Source organism: Homo sapiens, chromosome 10 (genome assembly GCF_000001405.40).
Source record: "Homo sapiens chromosome 10, GRCh38.p14 Primary Assembly".
In the NCBI taxonomy this organism is placed as follows: Eukaryota; Metazoa; Chordata; class Mammalia; order Primates; family Hominidae; genus Homo; species Homo sapiens.
In genome coordinates, this window is record NC_000010.11 from 15,227,225 (window position 1) to 15,254,595 (window position 27,371).

Consider the following 27,371-nt stretch of genomic DNA (forward strand, 5'->3'; position numbering starts at 1 on the left):
TCCTTACCTCAAGTGATCCATCCCCCTTGGCCTCCCAAAGTGTAGGGATTATAGGTGTGAGCCACTGCACCCGGCCGGAACAGTGATATTTGAAATCCAAGTTCAGTATTGTTTTCTTCCACACCACACTCTCAGGTCAGTTTTTGTCTGAACTGTCATTTTCTTTTTTGTTCTTTTGAGACAGGGTCTTGTTCTGTCACCCAGCTGGAGGGCAGTGGTGCAATCATGGCTCACTGTAGCCTCAACCTCCTGTGCTCAAGGGATCCTCCCATCTCAGCCTCCCAAATAGCTCAGACTACAGGCACGTGCTACCATGCCCAACTAACTTTGGTATTTTTTGTAGAGACAGTCTCAATATATTGCCCAGGATGGTCTTGAACTTCTGGACCCAAGTGATCCTCCTGCCTTGGCCTCCCAAAGCATTGGGATTATAGGCATCAGTCACCATGCCCACCTTGAAGTATCATTCTTTAGAGTTAGACCTTACACAATGGAAAGACTCGGAGATATTTTCAAGTATAAACAATTTGTTGAACTATCTTACTAATTTTTTGAAAATGAGTAATGCATCCAGCTGGCAAGGTTCACTGGGTGTAAAGCATCATGCATTCTTAATTTGGAAGCTACATTTAACTACAATGATTATTACACATAACAACTGACAGGCAGGGAAAGATGTGTCCTGCAAGATCTGATGCTGTCTCCCAGCAATCGCCAAGTGTGCTGCTTTCCTGCTTGGTTACCAACCAGTAATGAAATCTACTTTTATTTGCAAAGTATAAAGAAAAGTGAGTTCAAAGATTTAACAAATGGCCATCAAAAGAGAAAAGAACTCTAAAGTATGAAAAACGGCCCAAAACAATGTCTAATTTGAATATGGCCTAAGGAGATCACAGTTACCTGGCTTTTCCTGCCTGGCACATTTACTCTGCCTGGAAACTCCCCCGTAGCAGCCAATTACCTTCTCACCATTGGGTAAGAAGCAGACAGACCTGATATTACAAGCACTATTGACTTTGAAAAGATCGGACCTGAATCTCACATGTTAAGAGATTCTTAAAATCTCTTTTTGAGAAAGAGATTAGCCAAAGTACAAGAACAAAGTGGGAGTATTTTTTTTTTTTTTTTTTTTTTAAGAGACTGGGTCTTGCTTTGTCATTCAGGCTGGAGTGCAGTGTTGCTATCTTGGCTCACTGCAACCTCTGGTTCCTGGGCTCAAGCGATCCTCCCACTTCAGCCTCCTGAGTAGCTGGGACTACAGGCATGCACCACCACATCTGGCTGATTTTTGTATTTTTTAGTAGAGATGGGGTTTCACCATGCTTCTCAGGCTGGTCGCAAACTCCTGGGCTCAAGTGATCCTCCTCCTGCCTCTTCCTCCCAAGGTGCTGGGGTTGCAGGCGTGCGCCCCGCGCCAGCCCAAGTGACTGTTACTATGCTGAGATTTGTTAGCATGTCAGACCTCAGAACACTGGGCAGATAAACACCCAGCAGCATAAAGGGTCAATGGACCATACAGATGACTTCCCTGGATTGACATGATCCTAAATGTGATACCCAAGTCTGCCACTTCCTAGTCGTGTGCGCTGAGGACATGCTGAGGATGACACAGAAGAGGAGCTGAACGTCCCTGTGACATCACTGAACCACTGGTGCAATCCTAGAGCCACCTGCCTCATGTTTCTTTGTCACGTAAACACTAAATGGCCTCGTCATTTAAGCGCTTGTAGCTGGGTACTTTACTTCTTGCAGCTAATGTATTCTAATAGATGTATTTTTCCAGAAAGAGGCTGCGGTGAATTCTACTAGGTCTATAAGCTGGGACTCGGAAAGAAATGCCACAGCCACTCAGAAATCCCATTGCCAAAAGTTCTATCAATGAAGACGTGATTGTCCACACTGTGAAACATAGCCATTTCTACTCCTACAGCTACATTCACACTGTGAGAGATTTGGGAACATTTAGGGTGGGGGGCAAGGTCACTTGTGCTGGTGCAGGCATGGCCTTGGATTGGGGAACCTGCTGTTGTTTCATTTTTCAGCTGTGGGCTCTGCCTAATCACTAGCTTTCTTGGGCTGTCATGGCTCTGGATGAATAATTAGCATGGAGTGAGCACTAGCTCGTTTGAGGAATAATCTTCTTAAGAGGTATGCACCTCTCAGATCCATGGCAAACACTCATCATCATCATCATCGTCATCACCACCATCATCACCATCGTCACCACCATCATTGTCACCATCATCACCATTGTCACCCCATCACCATAATCACCAACACCATCATCACCATTGTCACCCCCCTCACCATCATCACCATCATCACCATTGTCACCCCCATCACCATCACCAACGTCATCATCATCACCATCATCACCATCACCATCATCACCATTGTCACCCCCATCACCATCATCACCATCACCATCATCACCATTGTCACCCCCATCACCATCATCACCATCACCACCATCACCATCATCATCATCACCACCATCACCATCATCACCATCACCCCCATCACCATCATCACCATCACCACCATCACCATCATCACCATCACCACCATCACCATCATCACCATCACCACCACCATCACCATCATCATCATCACCACCATCACCATCATCACCATCACCCCCATCACCATCATCACCATCACCACCATCACCATCATCACCATCACCACCATCACCAACATCATCATCATCACCATCACCATCATCACCATCAGGCGTTTCCAGATCCCTGAATATGCTAGATTTCTCTAGAAAACAGATGACTTGCTTCCTAGAGCTTTCATCTGCATTAAGCAATAATCTCCATAAGTTCCTACCAACTGTATATATAGAATTATCAATACTTAAGTCTATGTTATTGTATACTTTAACAAAATCAGCATAGAATCACATTAAAATCAAATAAAAAGCCATCAGCCCTTAAACCACATTCTTCAGTATGGCAGAAACAGTGACAATTTCTACATTTATGACACTGTGGGATAGTCCTCTTTTTTTCCAAATTAAAGTCTACGGCTTTGAGTAGCTAGGTTTCCTTCTTTGGAATTGTTTTTCCATGAAATATGTCAGAAGTAAACATTCCTTGTTAATTATATAGCAAAGTATTTGCCCGGTGGTCAATTATCTAATCATTCTTGTTGAAAGCAATCAAACTGAAGAGCAAAAGTTATGTGCAGATGGTTGGATTCTCATAGCTGTAGGCAAGTACATTTCAGGACTGGTTTAAACAAGAATAAAATTAAGGGCAACTCATTGTAACCAACGACCTTCTGTTTGAAGCATGAAATCATGAATGTGTTGAATATTAGAAATTAACACGATGACTGTATTCAGCTGCAACACATTCCCTGGGTATTTTTAGGGTAGTTTTTGAGAAAGATTCTTAAATTTAAGCAACTGATTTTTTTTTCTTTAAGCTTTAGCTGAGCTATCGTAAGACTTACTGAAACAAGTTTTAGGAAAGAAGCAGTTATGGGAAACCACAAAATACTGGCAGACTTATAGAAACTTTATTCCTTAAATAGATAGCTAGACGTATTAGGATACATAATAGCATTAATAAAATTTAATGAGAGACTTCTGAATTTACAATAGATATATATACATTTCCTGAAAGTAGGTCAGAATACAAGCTAATTAGCCCCATCTGGAGAGAAATTTTGTTCATTACCCACTGAGGCCAATACCCATCTTGCAATTACATGTCAGAAGGGACTGGGTGGGGAGCACACAAGGATTGTGGGTGGCACAGCCATTAGTCCCCTGCATTGGAAAAATCCTCAGGATGAAAGACAGCATAACAGATAATTTGCAGAGAATAACTGAGCGTTCTCATAACAGAGAAATTACAAATCTGGAGACATGTGGTAGGATGCTTGCTAAAGAGCTTGTTGACACAGAGATCTTGCTAAGTGCAGGTTCTGATCCAGAGGTCTGGAGGAAAGCCTGAGAAGGCAATTCTTATTTTATTTTTTTTTTTGAGGCAGGTTCTCTCTCTATCACCCAGGCTGGAGTGCAGTGGTGCAATCACAGCTCACTGCAGCTTCGACCTCCTGGCTCAAGTGATCTTCCCACCTCAGCCTCCCGAGTAGCTAGGACCACAGACACATGCCACCATGCCTGGCTAAATTTTTATTTTTTATAGAGATGGGGTCTTGCTATGTTACCTGAGCAGGTCTCAAACTCTTGAGTTCTAGTGATCTTCTCCCCTTGCCTTCTCAAAATGCTGGGACTACAGGTGTGAGCCACCGTGCACAGCCCTGAGAACGCGGTTCTAACGAGCTCCGGGTGATGCAGGTGCCGTTCATCAGCAGATCTCACTCCGAGTAGCAACGCCTCTCTAAATTATTTGCCCTTTTGTGGGTGTGGCAACTCTGTCAGGCAGAGTTGCCACACCCGCAAAATGCCCTAATGCCATTTCCTACCATGTGGCTGTAGCGGGTTCACTAGGTGGCCAGTGCTTGAAGCAACTTCTGAAATATTTCTGATATATTCAAGAAGGAATCTGGTCAATTGTCAGACTATAGGCCAGGAGTCAGCGCACTCAAATGCCTACAGATGGCTGGGTGTGGTGGCTCATGCCAGCAATCTCAGCACTTTGGGAAGCCTAGGTGGAAGGGTCTCCTGTGCCTAGGAGTTTAAGATCAGCCCTGGCAACACAGCAAGACCACATCTCTACAAAAAATAAAAAACAAAAAAATTAGCTGGGCCGTGGTGGCAGGTGCCTGTAGTCCCAGCTACTTAGGAGGCTGAGGCAGGAGGTTTGCTTGAGCCCAGGGGCTTGAGGCTGCAGTGAGCCACGGTCATGCCACTACACTCTAGCCTAGGTGACAAAGTGAGATCATGTCAAAACAACAACAGCAACAAAAATTTCAAATGCCTACAGATGCCATTGTGTCCTTGCCTAGAGGGATGTGTTGCTTAGTGACCTGGCTGGTTCCAAGCTTGAGACCTCTGCACTGACCACTGTTGCTGCCAGGGATGTCCTGTCCCCGAGATAAGCCCACGTTAGGATTCTGGGTGTTGTTAGGATCTCAGCTCAAATGTCACTTCTCCAAAGGCTCTGACCAGCTAATGACTCTCTCCACCATCACTCTGCTTAATTGTTTCTCCGCCATCTGAAATAAACTAGCTCATTCTCGGTCTCCTTCTTCTAGAACAACAGCTTTGTAATTATAGGGCCCTTCCCCAGCTTGTTTCGCCATTGTTTTATCGCAAGAGCCTACAACAGAGTCATGTCTGGCACAAAGAAGATGTTCAATAAATATTTGCTGACCGAACGAACTGTTTGATTTTTTTTTCCCTAAGTGAAGCCAGGAATAGAATTCCATGGGAAATCTTCCCATTTTTTAATGTTGGCGGTAAATTCAAACACAGCAAACAAATATCCCCAAACGAACTGTATGGACCAAACAAAATACATCTGGAAACAGGTGGTTGTTCTGCATTCCCAGATCAGCCCATCATTCTATTCAGCCACATTAAGTCTTGGCATTGAAGCGGGAATCCACAAAAATCTGATAAACTGGGAAAGGGGATTTGGAGTCTGAAGAAATCACGTTTTGTGTCTCCCCCTTCCCTAGGATGTCCCATGAGTGTGGGAAACACTCAACTCTACTGAGCTAAAGTTCCTTTCTGATAAAGACGGGAGTCCCCCACCTCCAGGGTTGCTTTGGGAATAATGGTGTAAAATGTTGGTTTATAGGAATACCTGTTTTTCTAATGGATAAGCTCAGCTAAGAATGAATAGATAAAAACATTGTTTTTTCAGGCCAGGGGCAGTGGCTCACGCCTGTAATCCCAGCACTTTGGGAGGCTGAGGCAGGCAGATCACGAGGTCAGGAGATCGAGACCATCCTGGCTAACACGGTGAAACCCCGTTTCTACTAAAAAATACAAAAAATTAGCTTGGCGTGGTGGCCGGTGCCTGTAGTCCCAGCTACTCAGGAGGCTGAGGCAGGAAAATGGTGTGAACCCGGGAGGCGGAGCTTGCAGTGAGTGGAGATCACACCACTACACTCCAGCCTGGGTGACAGAGCAAGACTCCGTCTCAAAAAAAAACAAAAACAAAAACAAAAAAACATTTTTTTTCCCTAAAGGATCTAAGTTGTGATCCCATTTTTCTTCCCCTTCAGTTTAGGAAAACTTCAAACTGCATACTGGAAATGGCTGGGCTGCCAGATACAAATACGTGTACATGGCGTACTGCAGGGACAAGCCAGACACTTCTGTGGAAGCTTCTAGTGAAGGACATTCTGCACATGCCGGGTGTATTCAGGGTGTGTGTGTGTGTGTGTGTGTGTGTGTGTGTGTGCATGTGTGTGCGTAAAAATAATTTTAAAGGGGTGATTCAAAGGAAGGGGCAAAAAGAACCACGATGGCCTGGTGTGGTGGCTCACGCCTGTAATCCCAGCACTTTGGGAGGCCGAGGTGGGTGGATCATGAGGTCAGGAGATGGAGACCATCGTGGCCAATGTGGTGAAACCCCATCTCTACTAAAAATACAAAAAGTAGCTGGGCATGGTGGCACATGCCTATAATCCCAGCTATTCGGGAGGCTGAGGCAGGAGAATCGCTTGAACCAGGGAGTCAGAGGTTGCAGTGAGCTGAGATAGTGCCACTGCACTCCAGCCTGGTGACAGAGCAAGACTCCGTCTCACCAAAAAAAAAAAAGAACCACGACATCAAAAATGTGATACATGGCTGGAGTGTACTAGGTGCTTTACGTAAATGATCACACTTAGGTCTTATGCAACCTTGGAAGGGAGATTTTACAGATCTCATATTTGAGGCCAGAAGCATTAGGTCCAGAGACATTAGTAATTTGCCCAAGGACGGGCCCTCTCCTAACATTTACAGAACTTGAGAAGTTTCAGGCGTGATGAAGGCACAAAACTACATTCGAAAGGAAAAAAAAAACATACAAAGTGTTGATCTTCTTTTAAAAAATCATGTGTTAAGTGAGTGCTAACATAAAAGAGATTATAGCTCATACAAAAGTATAAAACCAAAACAAACTTACGAAAGAAACAAGAAACAAAGCTACAGTTTCAAAATAAATTTCGAATTAAAAACATCAACTTAATGGTGTACCTGATGACATATTGTTACCCGTTGAGGGTAGCTGCCCAGGTTCTTGGCGTTTTGAACAAAGAATTGGACAAAACGCACAAGCAAAGCAGCCAAAGCAGAAATTTATTTTAAACGAGAGTACACTCCACAGACTGGCAGAGGCTACAGCAAGAGGCTCGGGAACATTGGTTACAGAATGTTCTGAGGTTTAAATACCCTATAGCAGTTTCGTATTGGCTCACTCTAGTAGCCCATGAGCAGTCTCTTTGGTTACGGGAGGGGAAAAGTAGCCTAGCGACCAGTCTGATTGGCTGCAGGAGGGGACCGATCAGATGTACTTTTCTTTTTTTTTTTTTGAGACGGAGTCTTGCTCTGTCGCCCAGGCTGAAGTGCAGTGGCGCGATCTTGGCTCACTGCAAGCTCTGCCTCTGGGGTTCACGCCATTCTCTTGCCTCTGCCTCCCGAGTAGCTGGGACTACAGGCACCCACCACCACGCCCGGCTAATTTTTATTTATTTTTTGTATTTTTAGTAGAGACGGGGTTTCACTGTGTTAGCCAGGATGGTCTCGATCTCCTGACCTCGTGATCCGCCTGCCTCGGCCCCCCAGAGTGCTGGGATTACAGGCGTGAGCCACCGTGCCGGGCCGATCAGAGGTACTTTTCATTTTCCAACTGCCAGGCAGAAAAAGGAGGGGTTAAAAAGTAGCCCCTATGCCGGGCGTGGTGTCTCACGCCTGTAATCTCTGCACTTTGGGAGGTCCAGGAGGGCCGATTACCTGAGGACAGGAGTTTGAGATCGGCCTGGCCAATATGGCCAAACCTCGTCTCTACTAAAAATACAAAAATTAGCTGGGCAGGCGCCTACAATACCAGCTACTTGGGAGGCTGAGACAGGAGAATCGCTTGAACCTGGGAGGCAGAGGTTGCAGTGGGCCGAGATTGCGCCACTGCACTCCAGCCTGGGAGACAGAGCGAGACTCTGTCTCAAAAAAAAAAAAAAAAAAAAAAAAAAAACCTCTGATATCCAGTCAGCTGAGTCGGCCTTAGGTTCTCTACCTTCAGACCCAATTCTCCTGCCTCAATATTACTGAACTGAACTTGTCACTTGCAACATACATACACATGACATCCATGGCTAGGTGGGGCTTCTTTCGAGCTTGGCATGACTATGATTCAATTCTTCCACTACCTTTCTCAAACTGAACTGTAAAACTTCCCATCTCTCAACATACTTTAATTCCACCTGTCCTTATTATGCTGGTGTTGTATCATTTGTATATTACATTTACCATGGTTCATTCTCATTTGTCCTATTCTATCCAACAGTGTGTTCATAAATGCAGACTCAGGCAATAACATTATGTGATCGTTTTAAATTCTGTATTGAATTCAGATGATGCAGAATATTTTCATGTTAAGTTGTAAAAGATCATGATCAAACCCCAAACTCCAAATTTGAAAATCCTTGCAGATGATTCCCAGGCCTCAAAGAAGCGGTCTGGATCTACAGGCTTCAGTGGGAAACGCTGAATCTCACTGGGGAAACCTTGGATACCTGGAACCTTCATCTCTCCCCAGTACCCATCCTCGGGGTCCTCACCTACAAGGTGAGGATAACACAGGTTGCTGGAAAGAGCCACGGTGTTCAGCCAGGAGATAGGAGTGAGCAGAGCCAGGGAGCACATTAGGCTCACACACTAGACGAACACTCGCTTTGGACATCAGAGACTTACGTTCCTGCTGTACCCAAATTAAAAGGCACCACTTATTGTGAACTTTAAAGTTATTTGGAAGTTCAATCCCAAACAATGATGTTTCCAAATATGGAACAGCTGGTCAGGTATGGGCCCCGACCAATCAGACTGGATGGCAGGGCCATTCCAGCTAAATAGCAACCTTGGGTGAGACTGGGATGTTAAATTTAAAAACAGTAAGGCTTTCCTGTACCTGTCCTTTTATATCATGCTTCCAAAAAAAAAAAAAAAATCACACACTGCATATGGGCTAAATAATAGCAGCGATGATGATGATAAGAGCGGCAAACACATACGGAGGGTTTTCCAAGCGCCAGGCTCTGTGGTAGGCACTCTCCACTCACAGCAATTCTATGAGGGAGGGGCTGGGGCTATTATGATCCCCATTTTATAGAGGAGAAAACTGAAGCCCAGAGACGAAAAAGGACTTGCTCAAGACCACACAACGAGTCACCAGAGGAGGAGCCGGCATTCAAGACCAAGCCGTCTCGGTGGCTGGGCTGCACACTGCCTCTATCCTGTTCACGAATGCTATCAGCTGTGTCTCATCCAGTGCAATATTCACATCTATCAATAATATTCTACCTTCTAATTACCCACTCAAGTGGAGGCAACTGAAACCAGGTGATACTTAAAAGTACTGAATTCTGAAATATAGTGGCTTTACTTTCCTAGTTCTTTTTCACCCAGGTTAATATTAGAATGATTGTGTTAGATGCTGTCCTTAAAATCCAGGCCAGACTGGGCGTGGTGGCTCACTGCCTGTAATCCCAGCACTTTGGGAGGCTGAGGCAGGAGGATCACTTGAGGCCAGAAGTTTGAGACCACGCTGGCCAACATGGTGATACCCCCATCTCCACTAAAAATACAAAAATATGCTGGGTGTGGTGGCACTTGCCTGTAGTCCTAGCTACTTGGGAGGCTGAGGCAGGAGAACCGCTTGAACCTGGGAGGCAGAGTGAGACTCTGACTTGAAAAAGAAAATCCAGGCCAAATAGCAGCAAACTAAGAGGGCCTTGAGGCTCCTGGGTGATGGGGAAAGCCCGCAGGAAGACACAAATTTGCCACAGATAATCCACAAAGTGAATACTCCATAAGTGGTAACTAAGAATGAAGTGTAAAATAAAACCTCTACAACTCCAAGATCACAAAAGCAGGCTATACCAAGACGGGAAATTCTAGTTCTACATAAAATGATACGTTAAGAGACCTAAGTCCCTAAGAATGGGGTTTTTAAACAAAAGTGCCCCCTGAACCCGATCATACTAGAACAAATGTGATGCTATTATTTTATGAAAGTTCTCATTTTGGGGGGAGACAAACACAAAAGGCTTAATGATTCCTAGGAATGGATTGATAATACAAGATTGTTTTTTGAGTTGCTAGGCAACACTGAAAAACAAATGTCGATGTTCTGAGATCACAGCTTGGTTGTTCTCCCATGGGCAGGACCAGTGCTACCCGGCCTTCCTGCACTCCATTGGAGAACAGGAGTGGTACAGAGCCACTGCGATGCTGAGTCCACAGTGGCAACAGACACCAACTGGCATCTCCATGAAAAGTCACAACTGACCGCCTGGCTGCCAAGATCTTTGGTGAGACAAAGTTTTCACTGAACTGTCATCACACCCAAACAAGTCCCATGCTCTCCGGGTTCTTTGCTATCTGTGATCACTTCAATCGCTTTTTTTTTTTGCAGGTACATTACCCCCTTTTCCCCTACCGGTCTCATTAAAGCCCCATTCACCCCTAAGAGTGATTTTGACATCTGGGAAAGTACAGACACTTTTCCTGAGAGTTATTTCTTTATTTCTAAGCCATAGCCTTGACTCTGAATATTTCCACTGTAAAAAGGCCTATTTCCAATAACAGCTTTCTTAGGGATATGTTGATATTACCTTAGGTAAGTTGAATTCCTCCTTTGCTGAATGCCCTGAACTACGGCATCTATTCTTTTTCAAAAAATAAAAGATGATGCCCAAGGTTCTAAAATCACGTCACACATCTACGCACAGACTTGGTAAAGAAATGAACTCCCTTCTTTCATTCTAATGTTTGGGGGCACAGTGTAGTACTGTTTATCCCTATAATCCAATCACCCACCTCAGTATTCCAATCTGGGTTACTTCACCTAGTCATGTGGCTTGTGATATATAGAGACAAAGATAAGCTAATATTGTAATAATGATTTCACTGAAGACTATTTTTTAAAGAGCAGATTTAGGTTCGCGGCAAAACTGAAAGGAAGGTGCAGATATCCCACATACAGCCCAGACTCCCTCTTGATCAATATCCCCTACCAGAGAGGTGCCTTCGCTACAATTGATGAGCCTGCATTCACATGACATTATCACCCAAAGCTCATCATTTCCATGTTCAATAATAGTTTCATTTTCTTTACGTTGTAAACATAATTTTGTGCTTTAAGAACTCCCACTCTTTGCCGCCCTTCCCCCCCACCCCCAATTAAAAACCCAATGAACCTGAAAAACAATCTTAGATCTGTGTTTTAAATGAGTCTCCACCTTCAAGGGCAAGTTGTCCGTCACTTAGGTAAAAGGACTAATTAAATGAGCTTGTCATAGCCGTAACATTCACCGTCTGAAGTGCAGACGAATCTACTACAGGCCAATTGTGAGTGGGTATTCCTGAGAGCCTGACACGAATGCATCGTACGTGGTAAGAGGCTGGTTCAGTAACCACCATTTCTATAGCAACCCCCACACACTCTCAGGCTGTGTTTTGAAGAGGCAGTGAAAACTGGATTCTACAATGTAGCTTCACTCTTAGAATATGCTTTTATTTCTATCATCTCATTAGAATGAGAGTATCCAAATCATATAATCCAGGTTGCCATTAAACAGGAGAAACTTATCAAATACAGGATCCGTAAATCTTTATTTATTCTTTTTGCCACTTGATGTCCATCGCTTTAAATTCAAACCACTGACCTGGTTTGCCTGTGACCATTCCCCAGGGCAACAAGTCAGATGTCCGTCTGACAACCTGTACATCAGACAGCCATCTGCTGCCCCAGTTACAGGATAAAGAAAGGGTAAACGTCTGTAAAATAGAGCTGACATAATCATCTCTTACTGTCCAGAAAGGCTCAGCTAAGAGGCATTCGCTATGACTAACAAAACTTCCTTTGACAGACATGGGAAGGAAAACTGCTTCTTTCAAAGGTCAAATTGGCCACTGCACAATAAATATTCACTTTATTTATTTATTTATTTTTATTTTTATTTTTTTTTGAGACAGTCTCACTCTGTCGCCCAGGCTGGAGTGCAATGGTACAATCCTGGCTCACTGCAACCTCCACTTCCCAGGTTCAAGGGATTCTCAGCCTCCCAAGAAGCTGGGATTAGAGGCACCCACCACCACACCCGGCTCCAGCTAATTTTTGTATTTTTAGTAGAGATGGGGTTTCACTATGTTGACCAGGCTGGCCTCAAACTCTTGACCTCAAGTGATCTGCCCACCTTGGCCTCCCAAAGTGCTGGGATTACAGGTGTAAGCCACTGTGCCTGGCTACAAATTCATTTTAACCCATTCCCCTCACATACATCTTGACACCCGGGACACAGAGAGGGCACAATTGGATCATTACATATTCCGCTGATTCTTTAAGGAAAAGAGATCCACTAAATAGAGTGCTCCTTCGCTCTACGAATCACAGCATTTTAACAAAATAGCTTTAACAAAACATGTCAATGTGACAAAAGTCTCGATTCCAGTATGGGTGGAATATCCTTTATCCAAGATGCTTGGGACCAGAAGTGTTTTGGATTTTGGAATATTTGCATTATACTTACCTGCTGAACATACTTAATCTGAAAATCCAAAATCCAAAATGCTCCAGTGAGCATTGCCTTTGGGCATGACCTTTGAGTATCATGATGGACCTTAAAAAGTTTTGGATTTTGGGGCATTTCAAACCTTGGATTTTTGGATTTGAGATGCTCAACTTATATATGCAAGTCGTGCTTCTTAAAAAATTTATTTTAGGCTGGGCGTGGTAGCTCATGCCTGTAATCCCAGCACTTTGGGAGGCCGAGGCAGAGGCGGATCACTTGAGGTCGGGAGTTCGAGACCAGCCTGGTCAACATGGTGAAACCCCATCTCTACTAAAAATACAAAAATTAGCCTGGTGTGGTGGCACACACCTGTAGTCCCAGCTAGCTGGGAGGCTGAGGCCAGAGAATCACTTGAACCCAGGAGGCAGAGGTTGCGGTGAGCTGAGATTGTGCTACTGTACTCCAGCCTGGGTGACAGAGCGAGACACCATCTCACACACACACACATAAAATTATTTTTATTGAGGGTCCATATAGCAATTAGCCAACTCATGCTGTTGTAACATGCTAAACAAATTCAATGTTATTTGTATTCTAAGATGGTGTTAATCTAGTTGATCACCTTCTAATGAATATATAGGTTGAAATATGAAGATGCCAATTTCAAGAATGGGAAATTCTTTGCTTGTTCCAAAAGAAAAAAATTAAAAGACAACTGTGAAAAACGGCAGCATCAAAAATTGATCCCACTCTCACGGGGTTTGAAAGAGAGCATCTCTAGTTCTCTCTCCTAAGAGTAAACTTTCAATTTCCTGGCAGTCAAGGATTAAAGTGTGTGAGTTAGAGTTAAAACATGGATATACTGAGTTAGTGTTAAAACGTGATTTTGAGGCAGGGTGGTGGCTCACAGTCGTTGTAATCCCAGTGACTTGGGAGGCTGAGTTGGGAGGATCACTTGAGGGCAGGAGTCTGAGACCAGTCTGGGCAACACAGCAAGACCCTATCTCTACAAAAAAAAAATTTACAAATTAGCTGGGCATGCTGGCACACACCTGTCGTACCAGCTACTCAGGAAGCTGAGGTAGGAGGATCTCCTGAGCCCAGGAGTTCTAGCTCCGATTGTACCATTGCACTGCAGCCTGGGTGACAGAGCAGGACCCCTTCTTTAAACAAACAAACAAACAAACAAACAAACACAAACAAACAAAAACTACCATGTGATTGTATCATTTGAACAGAAGTCCCATCAAACCATAAAATAATTTCATCTTTCTTTACAGAGTTTGAGGTCTGGCCCTACAATGAAGGTGCTGTCACTCTGAGTATCAGTTGTCAACTCTGGCAAAATACAGGGGAGCTGTCAGCTAACAGGAAATATGGACATTGGGGCTGTCTGGGCACCCCAGTTTGCTCCTGTAGAGTGTGGAATACACTGGCACTGTAATATTAGAATGGAAAGAACTTCTGGAAGGCATTTAGACCAGAGGTCACAATTTTTTTTAAATTTTTTTATTTTTTTCTGTAAGAGGACAGATAGTAAATATTTTTGGTTTGTGGGGATATAAGTTTCTGTTGCAATGATTCAACCCTGCGTTGTAGTGCAAAAGCACTCACAGACAATATGCCAGCAGATGGGCCTGGCAAGGTTCCAGTGAAACTTTATTTAGGGATGCTTACGTATAAATTTCATGTAATTTTCGACCCATGAGATATTCTCCTTTTGATTCATTTCCCCCATATTTATTGACGTACAGTTGAAAAACAAAAATTTTATGTACTTAAGATGTCTGACCTGATGTTTTGATATATACATCAAGCTAATTAACATATCCATCACTTTACAGTTACCATTGTTTTTTCATCTTCTTTCTCTTGGTGGTGAGAACACTTTGAATCCACCCTCTTAGTAAATTTTAAGTATACAGTACAGTCCTATTAACAACAGTTAGCAGGCTTTGCATTAAGTCTCTGGAGCTTAATCATCCTGAAGAACTAAAACTTTGTACCCCTTGATCAACATTCCCCCATTTGATTTTTTTCTTTAATCATTTAAAAATGTAAAAATGATTCTTAGCTTTCAGGCCACAGTTGGCCAAACCCAATTTAGATGAAAAATTATTAATAGATTCACAAGTTGCTATCTGTGCCATTTCTGGCTGTTAAACAATTTGGAATTGGCAGTTATTTTGATTTACCTCAAAAATAGATAATTTAAAGTATTAAACTATTTGAGATGATCGATTACTGTAATCATAAATAGCAGCTAATTATTAAATTGTTTTATGTGCTTAAGATGTGTTGGCCCATTCCCCATTTTTTTCCTGATCTAATACCGTCTTTAGATTTTTTATTTAACTAAAATATTTTAATTTCTACTTAGATAATATTACAATTAATGTAATAGCAACAAAAGTCTTATGAAATATGCAGGCTTCTATTGAGTATAATAAGTGAAAAAACATATGGTTTCTTTGAAATGTCCATCTTAAAGTTTTCAGAAAACATTTTAATTCATTTGGTTATTTTTGAATGACTATCCACAAACGTTGGCTTTTTTCTGCATACATGCAATCTGTTACAACCAGGAATTTGGCAGTTACATTTTTCATAGTAAATGTGAAGTTAAAAAGACCATTTCGGCCGGGCGCGTTGGCTCACGCCTATAATCCCAGCTCTTTGGGAGGCTGAGATGGATCACTTGAGGCCAGGAATTTGAGACCAGCCCGGGCAACATGGTGAGACCTTGTGTCTACGGAAAATAAACAATAAAACAAATTAGCCAGGTGTGGTGGTGTGTGCCTGTCGTCCCAGCTACTCAGGGGGCTGAGGTGGGAGGATTGCTTGAGCTTGGGAGGTCGAGGCTGCAGTGATCTGTGACTGCACCACTGCATGCCAGTCTGGCTGACAGTGCAGGACTCCGTCTCAAAAAAAAAAGGAAGCGGAAATAGGTCAACTTCACAATGAAGATTCCCAATGTACTGTCATGGTTATTTTTTCAGAGAGGAAACAGAGAATGGGCTAACTTATATTTCAGAGGCTTCCTAACAATGCACACACCTCTGTTTTCACCAATTTCTGTATTGTATTCATTTCCTATTGCTGCTATAAAAAACATTACCACAAATAATAGGGTCTTAAAACAGCACAGATTTACTTTCTTATACTCCTGGAGGTCAGAGGTCCAAAACCAGTTTCTCTGGTCTCAAGTCAAGGAGTCCACAGGGCCGGTTTCTCCTGGAGGCTCAGAAGGGAGAATCCCTTGCTTGCTGATTTTGGCTTCCAGTGGGTGCCTGTATTCCTTGGCTTGGGTCCCCTTCTCGCATTTCCAAAGTGCATGGCTCCGGCCTGCGCTCCCATCCTCACACTGCCGTCTCCTAATCTGATTCTGGCTCCTCTTGCATCCTGCTCATAAGGGCCCTTGTGATGGCCGTGGGCCCACCCAGAAAGTCCATGAGAATCACCCCATCTCCAGATTCTTCATCACTTCCACCAAGTCCCTTGACCGTATAAGGTAATATCCACAGGGCCTGGAGATTAGGATGCAGAGATAGTTCCATCTGCCATGGACATCAAAAACTTCTTTAAGTTTGTTATTTGTGAACTGTATATAAAGTCCACCGAGGAAAGCAAGGATGCTGCTTTCATACACCTGTGCCATATAGTTACAGTGCACACAACCCATACAGGAATCCCTAGGGAAGGCTTCCTTATATTAGGAGCCCCAGCCTTATTCCTCCATATTCAAATATACTCATTAAAAAAGAGAAGGCAAAAATGAGAAGCAAAAAATAAACAGCAGGGATGGAGGCTCCAAGATAGAAAAAAAATCCAATAGAACTGTCCTCCCTCTAAACAAGAGCTTAAACATCATCCTTTTATAACGTGTACATATACATATATACATAAAGGTAAATTCTATGTATACAGTCAATGTATACATTGACTGAGCAGCTCACCGCAAGCTCTGCCTCCCGGGTTTACTTACGCCATTCTCCTGTCTCAGCCTCCTGAGTAGCTGGGACTACAGGCGCCCGCCACCACACCCGGCTAATTTTTTGTATTTTTAGTAGAGACGAGGTTTCACCGTGTTAGCCAGGATGGTCTTGATCTCCTAACCTCGTGATCTGCCCACCTTGGCCTCCCAAAGTGCTGGGATTACAGGCATATCAGAGTATCTTAAATTGCCTTTTAAAGATATCTAAATTGGCTAGACATGGTAGCTCACGCCTGTCATCCCACGACTGTGGGAAGCTGAGGTGGGTGGATCACTTGAGCTCAGGAGTTCGAGACCACCTAGGCAACATAGTGAAACCCCATCTTTACTAAAAAAATACAAAAATTAGCCTGGGGTGGTGGTGGGCACCTGTAATCCCAGCTACTTGGGAGGCTGAGGCACTAGAATCACTTGAACCTGGGAGGCGGAGGTTGTAGTGAGCTGAGATCTTGCCACAGCACGCCAGCTTGGGCGACAGAGTGAGACTCCGTCTCAAAAAAGCCCCCCAAATTAGCTAGGCCTGGTGACCACCCTTGTACTCCCAGTTCTTCAGGGGGCTGAGGTGGGAGGATTGCTTCAGCTCTTGAGATAGAGACTGTAGTGAGCTATGATCACACCATTGCACTCTAGCCTGGGTGACAGAGGGAGACCCTGTCTCTTAAAAACAAAAGAAAACAAAAAACCCTAAAATTATTCTCATGTGATTCAACCATTCAACAGACATTTTAGTTGGGTACCTAGCATTATGCCAGAAACTGTTATTGATCACAAGCATTCAGAATAAATAGACTTGGTGAGGGCATAGGGAGTAACTGGTACCCACACAGACTTGGTGAAGGTGCAGGGAGTGGCTGGTACCTGCACAGACTCGGTGAGGGTGCAGGGAGTAACAGGTCCCCGCACAGACTCAGGGAGGGCACAGGGAGTAACTGGCACCCGCATACCGTGCCGTTCAAGCTGATAGGACCATTGCAACGTGCACAATGTGCTCAGGATGAGGCCGGGGAGGAGACTGGAAAGGATCGGCTGTGCTCGTGAAAGTGACAAGCTGTCATTTACTTTTGTGATGACTAATTTTGTCTGACAACATGGCTAGGCCACAGTCCCCAGAAATGTGGTTAAATATGTCCAGATGTGACTGGGGAGGTATTTTGTTTAGAAGAGATAAACTGTTCAGCCAGTTGACTTTGCTTTTTTTTTTCTTATTTATTTATTTATTTTTTGAGACGGTGTCTCACTCTGTCATCCAAGCTGGAGTGTGGGGACGCTATCTTGGCCCACCTCAACCTCCACATCCTGGGTTTAAGTGATTCTCCTGCCTCAGCCTCTGGCGTAGCTGGGATTATAGGCATGCACCACCACGCCCAGCTAATTTTTTGTATTTTTAGTAAAGATGGGGTTTCACCATATTGGCTAGGCTGGTCTCAAACTCTTGACCTCAGGTGATCTGCCTGTCTTGGCCTCCCAAAGTGCTGGTATTACAGGCATGAGCCATGGTGCCCGGCCCAATCTGTTGACTTTGAGTGAAGCAGATCACTCTCCACAGTGAGGGAGGGCCTCATCTCATCAGCCTGCCTTGCAATTTTGGACTTGCCAGCCTTCCCAATTGTGTGAGCCATTCCTTAAAATCAATCTCTCCAAATATACATATATCTCCTATTGGCTCTGTTTCTTTAGAGAATCCTAATACACTCATTATAACAACAGTGGGTACTATTATTATTGCCATTTCACAGTGGAAGAAACTAGATCAGAAAGGCTAAGTAACTTGGCCAGGGCCACACAGCCAGTGGGTGGCAGAGCTGGCATTCCACACCACTGTGCCCCCCAGACTCCCTGCTCTTAACCACACTCTCCGCTGCTTCTCAGTGCATTGACCTGGGTGCGCTTCAGCGCCCCCTGGGAGGGCTACAGGGGACAGGCAGACCATACAAGGGGGTGTATATTCATATCTCTTACAAATGCAAATAGAGGTAAGTAATTTGCCCAAGGTGGGACTCACAGTTTTATAAGTAGCAGAACCCAGGTTTTCAGGAAACAAAACACAAACTCAAAGCTCTTTCCATTCTCTTGCCCACTTCCTCTGTGTTTTTCTTTATCCATTTTCTTCCTCCCTTTAGAATTCCGGCATTCTTCAGAGACTCTTGGTCACACATCCCTCAGGCTACTCCCTCCTGGAGGCACAGTGTACCTCAGGTCCCCACCATGACCTTGATGCCCCCCAAATTATCAGGCTCACAGAGAACACACACCATCAATAAAGTGCCCGTCTCGCTTACTGCAGGATATGTGAACAGATTATCAGGCTCTCAGAGAACACACACCATCAATGAAGTGCCCGTCTTGCTTACTGCAGGATATGTGAACAGACAGCATCACAATCCACTTAACAATATCAAGTTTACTGTGGCTGGTAAAATCAATGCATTCCACACAAATAATTACAGTGTCTCTATTAATTATTTGGAAAGTAAAAATAAGACAAAACAAAAATCCCCTCCAAAAGCCCAACAGGCGTTTCTTTTAAAATATAATTCCTAGAACTCTGTTTTAACTGATTCGAGGAATTAGATATCTTTGAAAATATACTGATATCAAAAATCTCCCAATTATCTTCATGCATGGTCTAACAGTTTTAAATTCTGAACTGGCTTATTTGAAAACTGGTATTTTCTTTTTTCGAGACAGTCTTGCTCTGTCATCCAGGCTGGAGTGCAGTGATGCGATCTTGGCTCACTGCAACCTCTGCCTCCCAGGTTCAAGGGATCCTCCCAACTTAGCCTCCCAAGTAGCTGGGACTATGGACATGTACCACCACAGCTGGCTAATTTTTTGTATTTTTAGTAGAGATAGGGTTTCACCATGTTGGCCAGGTTGGTCTCAAACTCCTGACCACAAGTGATCTGCCCGCCTTGCCTCCCAAAGTGCTGGGATTATAGGTGTGAGCCACCGTGCCCAGCAGCAAATTGATATTTTCAAGCTTGACTTTCAGGGCACTAGGAAGCAAAGGGGGGTAAGAGGCCCCACGCTGCCAAGACCCTCAGCCCGAGCACATGCTCGTGGGCTGGTATCATGAGTGCAAACCAATACAACTGTCTGGAGGGAAATCTGGAAATATGTTTTAAAAGTTTTAGAATTTTGTACATTTTGTAACTCAGCAATTCTTCTAAAATGTCATCCTAAGGAAATAACCAAGGCTGTGCATAAAGATTTAGCTAGAAAGATATTTTCTACAGCATTGGTTAGAATAGTAACATTTTTTTCTAATTGCAGGGGATTGATGAACCAAAGTGAAGTATGATATATCCACAGGGTGGAATACTATGGACTTATTAAAATTGACATGGCAGAATAATGATGCTATGGAAAGATGTTCATGCTGTACAAATGTATTTTTATGTATATATTATTGGTTGATTGAGTGAGTGAGTGGTCTCGTTCTGTTGCCTAGGAGGTGCAGTGGCTCGATCATAGCGACATCACTCACTGTGACTTTGAATTCCTGGGCTCAAGCAATCCTCCCGCCTCAGCCTCCCAAAGTGTTGGGATTTCAGGTGTGAGCCACTGCACCCAAACAGTACCCAGCACATGATCTCATTTCTGCTAAATATGCTTTGTAGAAGGCAACCTCTCAGATAGCCAGCCCCAAGTGACCCCTGCCTCCTGGTATTCACTCCCCTGTATAGTCTACTCTCAGTGCTGGTCTATACCAGTGTGGGTCTGTGTGACCAACAGCCTAATGGAAAGAAATGATGGTATGCTGCTTTTGGGATTAGGTTACAAAAGACCATGACCTCAATCTGGGCACTTGGGCTTTTAAAAGGCTGGTCTCAGACTCTTGGCCTCAAGTGAACCACCCGCCTCAGCCTCCCAAAGTGCTGGGATTACAGGTGTCAGCCACCACACCCAGCCTACTATATCATTTTTATTTACTCTTGGATCATTTGCTCAGGGGAAAGCAAACTACCGTGTAGTAAGCAGCTCTATGGAGGGTCCCACGTGGTAAGGAGGTAAGGCCTCTGGTCAACAGCCGGCAAGGAAGTGAGGTCTGCCTTCAGCCCTGTGAGTCACACTCATTAGCCCCAGCTGAACACTGCTGGAGAGGACCACAGCCTTGACTCACAGCTTGACAGCCGCCTTGTAAGAGACTCTGAGCCCTACCACCCAGCTCGGCTGTACCTGGATTCCTGACCCCCAGAAACTCTGAGATACTGGAGCTCACTGTTGTTTTAAGCAGCTAACTTTTAGGGTGGTGTTACACAGCAGTTGATAACTAATACCTACGTGCACTGTGAAAGCCCTAGAAGGACAGAATTCAAGATATATTAGTGGTTTTCTCTAGGTGGTGAGACTTATGGGTAATTTTTATTTTCTTTGTTTTGTACAGTTTTGGCAAATGTTTGTCCTTTTTCAGAAAACAGAAAAAAAAAATACCACACATGACCAAGAGCAACCATATGACCTTCTGATGAATAAAAGGATGAAGATTAGGAGAGCCAGTTTTAGCTCTAATAACCTTTACAGATTCTTTTCAAGTAAATTAGGTTAAATGTGCAAAACAAAAACAAATATGAAAACTAACAAAAAATGAGTTCCCAAGAGAGGGTCTGAATGGCACGGGGAAGGGTGCCGTCCCCATGAGAAACCACACAATGCAATGTGAGCAGCAGCATTCACTGACTTCAAGGAAAGGAGACTTCCATGAGCTTCTTAGAAGGAAAACCAAACAGTAACGAAGCCATCTGGTAGCCGATTGTCGGCACAGAACTCTTGCTTACCCAGCTTCTGGTCAAACCGCCACGCCGCGACATAGGCATTGTGCCTCAGGCTGCTCTGCGTGGCCAGGGGCACAGTGACATAGATGGGACCATCCACCAGCACCGGCGTTCCATTACTGCTCAGCAAGTGGACGCTGACGGCTGTGACTGGGGTCAGGTCATGCCTGGTGCTGTTTCCTAGAAGGAAGAGGCATTTTCCATCATTTGCATGCAAAGTACCCATGTGGGGCTGTGGAAACCTTTGCAAAAAAATAGTCGCAGCTACCATTACCTCCTATATGCCAGGGACTGCATGAAGCACTTTACATACATAATCCTCACCACAACCCAGTAAGGCAGGTAAAATCGTCATTTTTACACACAAAGAAACAGGCTCAGAGAGAGTAGTAATGGTAGGTGGCCTAAGGGCATACACTCAGTATGGGCTGAGCTGGAATCTAGGCTCAGGTTTTCTTTTTTCTTTTTTTTTTTTTTTTGAGATGAAGTCTCATTCCGTTGCCCAGGCTGGAGTGCGATGGCACAATCTCAGCTCACTGTAACCTCCACCTCCTGGGTTCAAGCGATCCTCCTGCCTCAGCCTCCCAAGTAGCCGGTATTACAGGCTTCCACTACCCTGATGGATAATTTTTGTATTTTTAGTGAAGATGGGGTTTTGCCATATTGGCCAGGCTGGTCTCAAACTCCTGACCTCAGGTGATCTGCCTGCCTTGGCAATCCCAGGCCTGTGCTGGGATTATAGACTTAAGCCACTGTGCCCGGTCAGGCTTGCTATTTTTCATTATTGTGTTTTGCTTTCAAAAACGATCTCAAAAGAGAAGGATTTTTCTATAATGTGAGACAAAGGTGTAAGTGGAAATCACCGGAAATAACTTTTACACAAAGTGAGCCCCATGCACATGTTAATTACTTGGCAGATAACCTTAATAAAACCAAATGTTTTAGAGCAGAGGCTGCTTTTTTTTTAACATAGCAAATTTCTTCAAGGATTGCTTCAAAAATATTAACTTCTGCTAAAAAGTATGCTATTGAGGACTGGACTTGAAATATTTATGAGTTATTTTAATTGCCATTGTTATTTTGATCTGTTTAAAAGGACCTCAGTATACCAATTATTTTCCATTAAAGGCCTTTGGTCCAAGCCAAAGCTTTAATGACTGCCTACAGATAAATTAGAGAATGCTTATGAGACCGATATATTTATGCACTCAAGCAATCCATTTTACATTTTCCTCTAGTGAAATACAATATCGCACAAACTGTGTTGTCATAATTTTACATATTTCTTTGAGCACAATGACAAAAACACAGCGATAAAAAATTTAAGCTGCATTAAAATACAATCTATAGGACTTTTTATTCAGCTACTTATATACTTACCTACCTACCAAACTGAGCTGATGTAAACCTCCAATCTGGTCTACATTTAAACATTTAAAGAAAACCTAGTGAATTTTAGAGTCTCAACAATGAATTACAGCTAAATCCTTCATACAGCAATTTCTACACAGCTAATGCCACCCTACCTTTTATCATTCATACCCGTCTGTTTTTTAATGAAGGCAAAGGTGTGGGAATGGAGATTTCGTGGAAAGATCGAAGTTGGAATCACAGATCCAAGTTTTGAAATCTCTTAGTCTGGTTATGTCATTTTATGGTAAAAAAACAACCAACCAACAAAACTCAGAATTTACCATGTTTCTGGTCCAAAGATTTTGTGTCTTGAAACACAAATGTGCCAGCAGCTCAAAGTTGATAGAGAAGCAAAGCCAGGTCTACAATCTACTGCTCTAGATTCTGTTAGGCCCTCTCAGGAAGATGGAACTTACAACTACAGAAAAGCTGGCCAGGCGCAGTGGCGCATGCCTGTAATACTGGCACTTTGGGAGGCCGAGGCAGGTTGCTTGAGCCCAGGAGTTCAAGAACAGCTTGGGCAACATAGTGAAACCCCGTTTGCACAAAAAAATACAAAAAATTAGCTGGGCATGGTGGTGCATGCCTACAGTTCCAGCTACTCAGGAGGCTGATGTGGGAGGATCACTTGAGCCTGGGAAGTGAAGGCTGCAGTGAGCTATGATCACACCACTGCAATCCATCCTGGGTGACAGAGTGACACCCTGTCTCAAAACAAAACAAAACAAAAAAAGAGAAACTACAGAGACATTAAATAATTTACTAGACTGTATAAACAACTGAGAGATAATGTTTTCCATCAGGGAGTGCTGTTTTCTTTCATCAAACTCTAGTCAAGATGTCCAAGTACGTAGGTAGCAGGTACTTGGTAGATAGAGGAGAAAAGCCCTAGAAATGGTGTCTCCCTTCTCCTCCCTTGTCACCTTTCAACTCTCCCTTCCTGCACATTCCCAGCCCAGGAAGATGGAGTCCCAGTACCAGATCTGCCACTCACTGCCTATGTCACCTCTGAAAGTGACTTCATTCCTCTGGGGTCTGTTTTTCTTACCTTCAAAACTAAGGAGGGTAGACTAGATGCCTTCCTGCATCTATGGAAATAAGTACACTCAGCTTGAAACATTCAGAAGTAAGTAGAGCATTGCAGAAACGAGCATATTAATGGACAGCAATGTGCATTAGGTTCATGGGATTTCATGTCCCTTTAGTGTCCTCTAGCTGTCTTAAGACATTGTGGGGAATTATATCTGCCTTCTTGAGGCCTCTTTCCTCCCTCAGGGCTTCATTAAATGCCTGCTTCTCTATGCCTTCCCAATGACTCTCCCTCTATGTCCCCATGTTGTTTATTCTGCAACGATTTTTTTTTTTTTTTTTTTAGACAGAGTCTTGCTCTGTCACCCAGAGTGGAGTGCAATGGTGCAATCTTGGCTCACTGCAGCCTCTGCCTTCTCAGTTCAAGCAATTTTCCTGCCTCAGCCTCCTGAGTAGCTGGGACAACAGGCACACACCACCACTCCTTGCTAATTTTTTTTTCTTTGTTTTTGTATTTTTAGTAGAGATGAGGTTGGTCAGGCTGGTCTTGAACTCCTGACCTCCCTCCCAGTGATCCACCCGCCTCGGCCTCCCAAAGTGCTGGGATTACAGGTGTGAGCCATCGCGCCTGGCCTATTCTGCAACAATTCACATTTTGAAGGGCTAAACTATTTTCCTTCTCTTTGTTATGAAACTCCAATTTTACACAAAATACTGAGTTTTATATAGAAAGTGGTCATCCTTCCCGTTCCATCTGGATGTTGCCTGGCTCCCTTTAAGTCTGCACAAAGACAAGCAGGTGTCAGGCAAATGCAGCAGGATCGTGTTGCGGGGCAGAACACCACTGGCCCAAGCGAGGAGAGGAGCTGTATCACCTTGGGCCATCTACCTGGTCACTCGTCACGTGACAGGTTCTGCTCAGCTGACATCTAAGGTTCTGTTGGGCTCTGTATTCTACCAACTTTTTGGAATTGCAGGAAAAGTCTGCACCTGTCATTTTATTGACTCTTCTCTGTCTTCCTGGAGTTATTAGTGAAAGCAATTTTTGTAAAAACCCCTTGGGAACACCACGGAACATTCTGTGCTTTCTCAGCAGCTGGGGGAAGAGTGCGATGCTCTCCGGTGAGAGGAGGGGGCCCCCAAGAGCTAGAAAGAGAAGATGCTTCTCCACTTACTTACAACTCTGGATCCACCCTCTAAACCAAACAACACAACCTTCATGGTACCCCCAGAAAACAGCCTTTCGGAGCCCTTTCCAGTCTCTTCCGCAGCCTCTCTGTTTCCATCCACCTTCACTGAACTCTGGTTATGACGCTAGTCATTTTCTGCGTCTTCGGGAGATGAACTTGTGTCATCTTCCAAAGACACGTCTGGTCCAGGCGTGCTCTCTTTAGGCTGTGAGCTCTTAGATGCCTTTAGTAAAACAGGAGATGAGTGACTGTGGGCAAAAGACAAGCTGTGTGCAAACTGACCCCAGGGGCCGCCATGGAGCTGGTGAGTTACTGAGGTGTCTGTGCTCAAGGGAGCCCAGGTTCCAAGTCCCCGAGGGCGCGTGTGAATTCACTATGGGTGGATGCCTTCGCTGCTAGGTCTCCAAGAAAGCCTAGTCATTTCTAGGTCAAGTCATCCATTCTTTCCGTGGAAGAGAAATTTCATGTCACATTGCAAAGACCTCTCTTCCCTTTGAAATCACGGAATGATCTTAAAATAGGACAAACTCCTCTAAAATCAATAGTTCTGTGTCTTAGTGTTCGTTTTCCCCCATTTTCTCAGACTGCATAATTTATTCAAGAGCTACTGGAAGTGGGGCACAGAAAAATTTAATGAGTCCCGAGCACGGAGGCTGTCCCTCCAAGTTAGGGTTTTGTGGATCGTGCACCATTTTGTCCGGGAGGCTGGATGCTGGCTATGATATTTTAAAACTTTGTTTTTTTGTTTTTTTTTGAGACAGAGTTTAGATCTGTTGCTCAGGCTGGAGTGCAGTGGCACGATCTTGGCTCACTGCAACCTCCACCTTCTGGGTTCAAGCGATTCTCCTGCCTCAGCTTCCTGAGTAGCTAGAACTACAGGCACCTGCCACCACACCCAGCTAATTTTTGTATTTTTAGTAGACGCAGCATTTCATCATGTTGGCCAGGCTGGTCTCAAACTTCTGACCTCAAATGATCCACCCACCTCGGCCTCCCAAAGTGCTGGGATTACAGGCATGAGCCACCGCACCCAGCCTTAAACCACTTCTTCATGCTCCCCAAAACAAGACTTTTCTCCCAGACCGGCACATTTCAAGTAATAGTCAACATTTTTTTTTCCTAATAATGTTTACTTAAGATGACTGCTATGCCATCTTTCTGATGACCAAGTACTGACATATTTACTGACAAGTTAATCACATCCTCATCAGCACACAAAAATTAAAGAAGAAACGTTTTGGAAAACAGAGAGAAGAAAAATGAGTAACAAATCACCATGTTGCCTTTATGTATAACCAGAAACTTATTAATATGCTACAAAATGGATCAAATGTTTCAGGTTTAAAAGCTTTTTCAGAATAATCAGTTTATGTAAAGCACTGGAAAATTAAGTGAAATTCAAGCCAAGTATCCCTGGGAAATGCAGTGAGTTACTCTCCTAGCAGAATGCAACTCAGAACAGCCTTTGATTTAAAATTTTAATGCTGTGATTAGTTTAAAGTGTGGGGGAAAGGAAAGTGGGGTAGACAAGAAAATAATTCAGGACTCCAGAATCCTGACACCTCTTCCACCAGGAGGAGTGGGGACCATTCCAGTGCAAAGGGGTCCAGAGAATGGTGCAGTTGGACACAAACAGAGGTGGAAGGTACCCGTCTTGGGTCTTTCTCTGATAAGGAATTATCACTTATTTTCTGGTGGATGGCTTTTAGTTTCTCTGATCTTTTAGCTGTGGCATGCCAGAATAGTGGTACTGACCCAGCTGACTTAGAGACCTGCCAGGAGAGGGCGGATTCTAAAGCAAATTCAAAGCCTGGCCACTCTATGCCCAGTTGAGGACAGAGAGAGCAAGTGCAGAGAAAGAAACGATGTGGGAAAGAGCTGGGTGGACACAGATGGCAGAGGGCGGAGGCTCCCCATCCTAAGTGGTCCCCATGCCGGTGGGGCATGGAGCCAAGGTATGCCTGTCTCTGAGTTGGACCAAGCACCACCTCTTCCCCTCCTGGCTGCAGCATAGGTGGGTGGGGTGGTAAGTCTCTACCAGCCCCACCCACCCACAGGCTACCCTCTCAAATGGGGGCTCGTGGGACGAGGCAGAGGGCAGCTGGGCCAAAAACCCTAAGTCTAATCTTATACTTAAAAAAATTGCAATTTCAATAAGAATTTCTCTGAATTGAATATATTTAGTCCACCAAAGGAGAGCTCAGAGAAGGTGCTTAAGGCAACTGGTAACAGAAGAAAAGCTCAAGGAGACCAATGTGCTAACATGTAATTCTGCAGGGCTCGTACCGACGTAACACAGTTTCAAAGCACTTGAACTTGTACCAAGAA

The 27,371-nt window shown here is 44.0% G+C and overlaps 1 protein-coding gene and 1 long non-coding RNA gene across 5 annotated transcripts in view, besides 1 other annotated feature; one reads left to right on the plus strand and one right to left on the minus strand.

The window, feature by feature from the left end:
* FAM171A1-AS1 (FAM171A1 antisense RNA 1) overlaps positions 1 to 14,015 on the plus strand; it is a 32,653-nt gene extending 18,638 nt beyond the window's left edge. Inside the window, exons 2-3 of one of the 2 annotated variants that reach the window (XR_007062068.1) lie at positions 10,295 to 10,440; positions 13,923 to 14,015. This is a non-coding gene — a long non-coding RNA (FAM171A1 antisense RNA 1). Of the gene's footprint in view, positions 1 to 10,294; positions 10,441 to 10,544; positions 10,599 to 13,922 lie in introns of those variants that run through there. The other variant, XR_930696.3, reaches the window with a different exon arrangement.
* The window catches only part of FAM171A1 (family with sequence similarity 171 member A1), a 162,912-nt gene that overhangs the window by 15,582 nt on the left and 119,959 nt on the right, over positions 1 to 27,371 (minus strand). For all 3 annotated transcript variants that reach the window (XM_017015904.2, NM_001010924.2, XM_011519378.3), the window contains exon 5: positions 21,415 to 21,591. In XM_017015904.2, the coding sequence (XP_016871393.1) occupies positions 21,415 to 21,591 (177 nt within the window). The remainder of the gene's footprint in view (positions 1 to 21,414; positions 21,592 to 27,371) is intronic.
* Positions 21,006 to 21,507: an enhancer, noted in NCBI's record as "H3K4me1 hESC enhancer chr10:15290229-15290730 (GRCh37/hg19 assembly coordinates)". NCBI's record gives its function as "activates a minimal SCP1, AML or CMV promoter by ChIP-STARR-seq in naive H9 embryonic stem cells {active_cell/tissue: H9 hESC(naive)}" and the evidence as "EXISTENCE:reporter gene assay evidence [ECO:0000049][PMID:30033119]".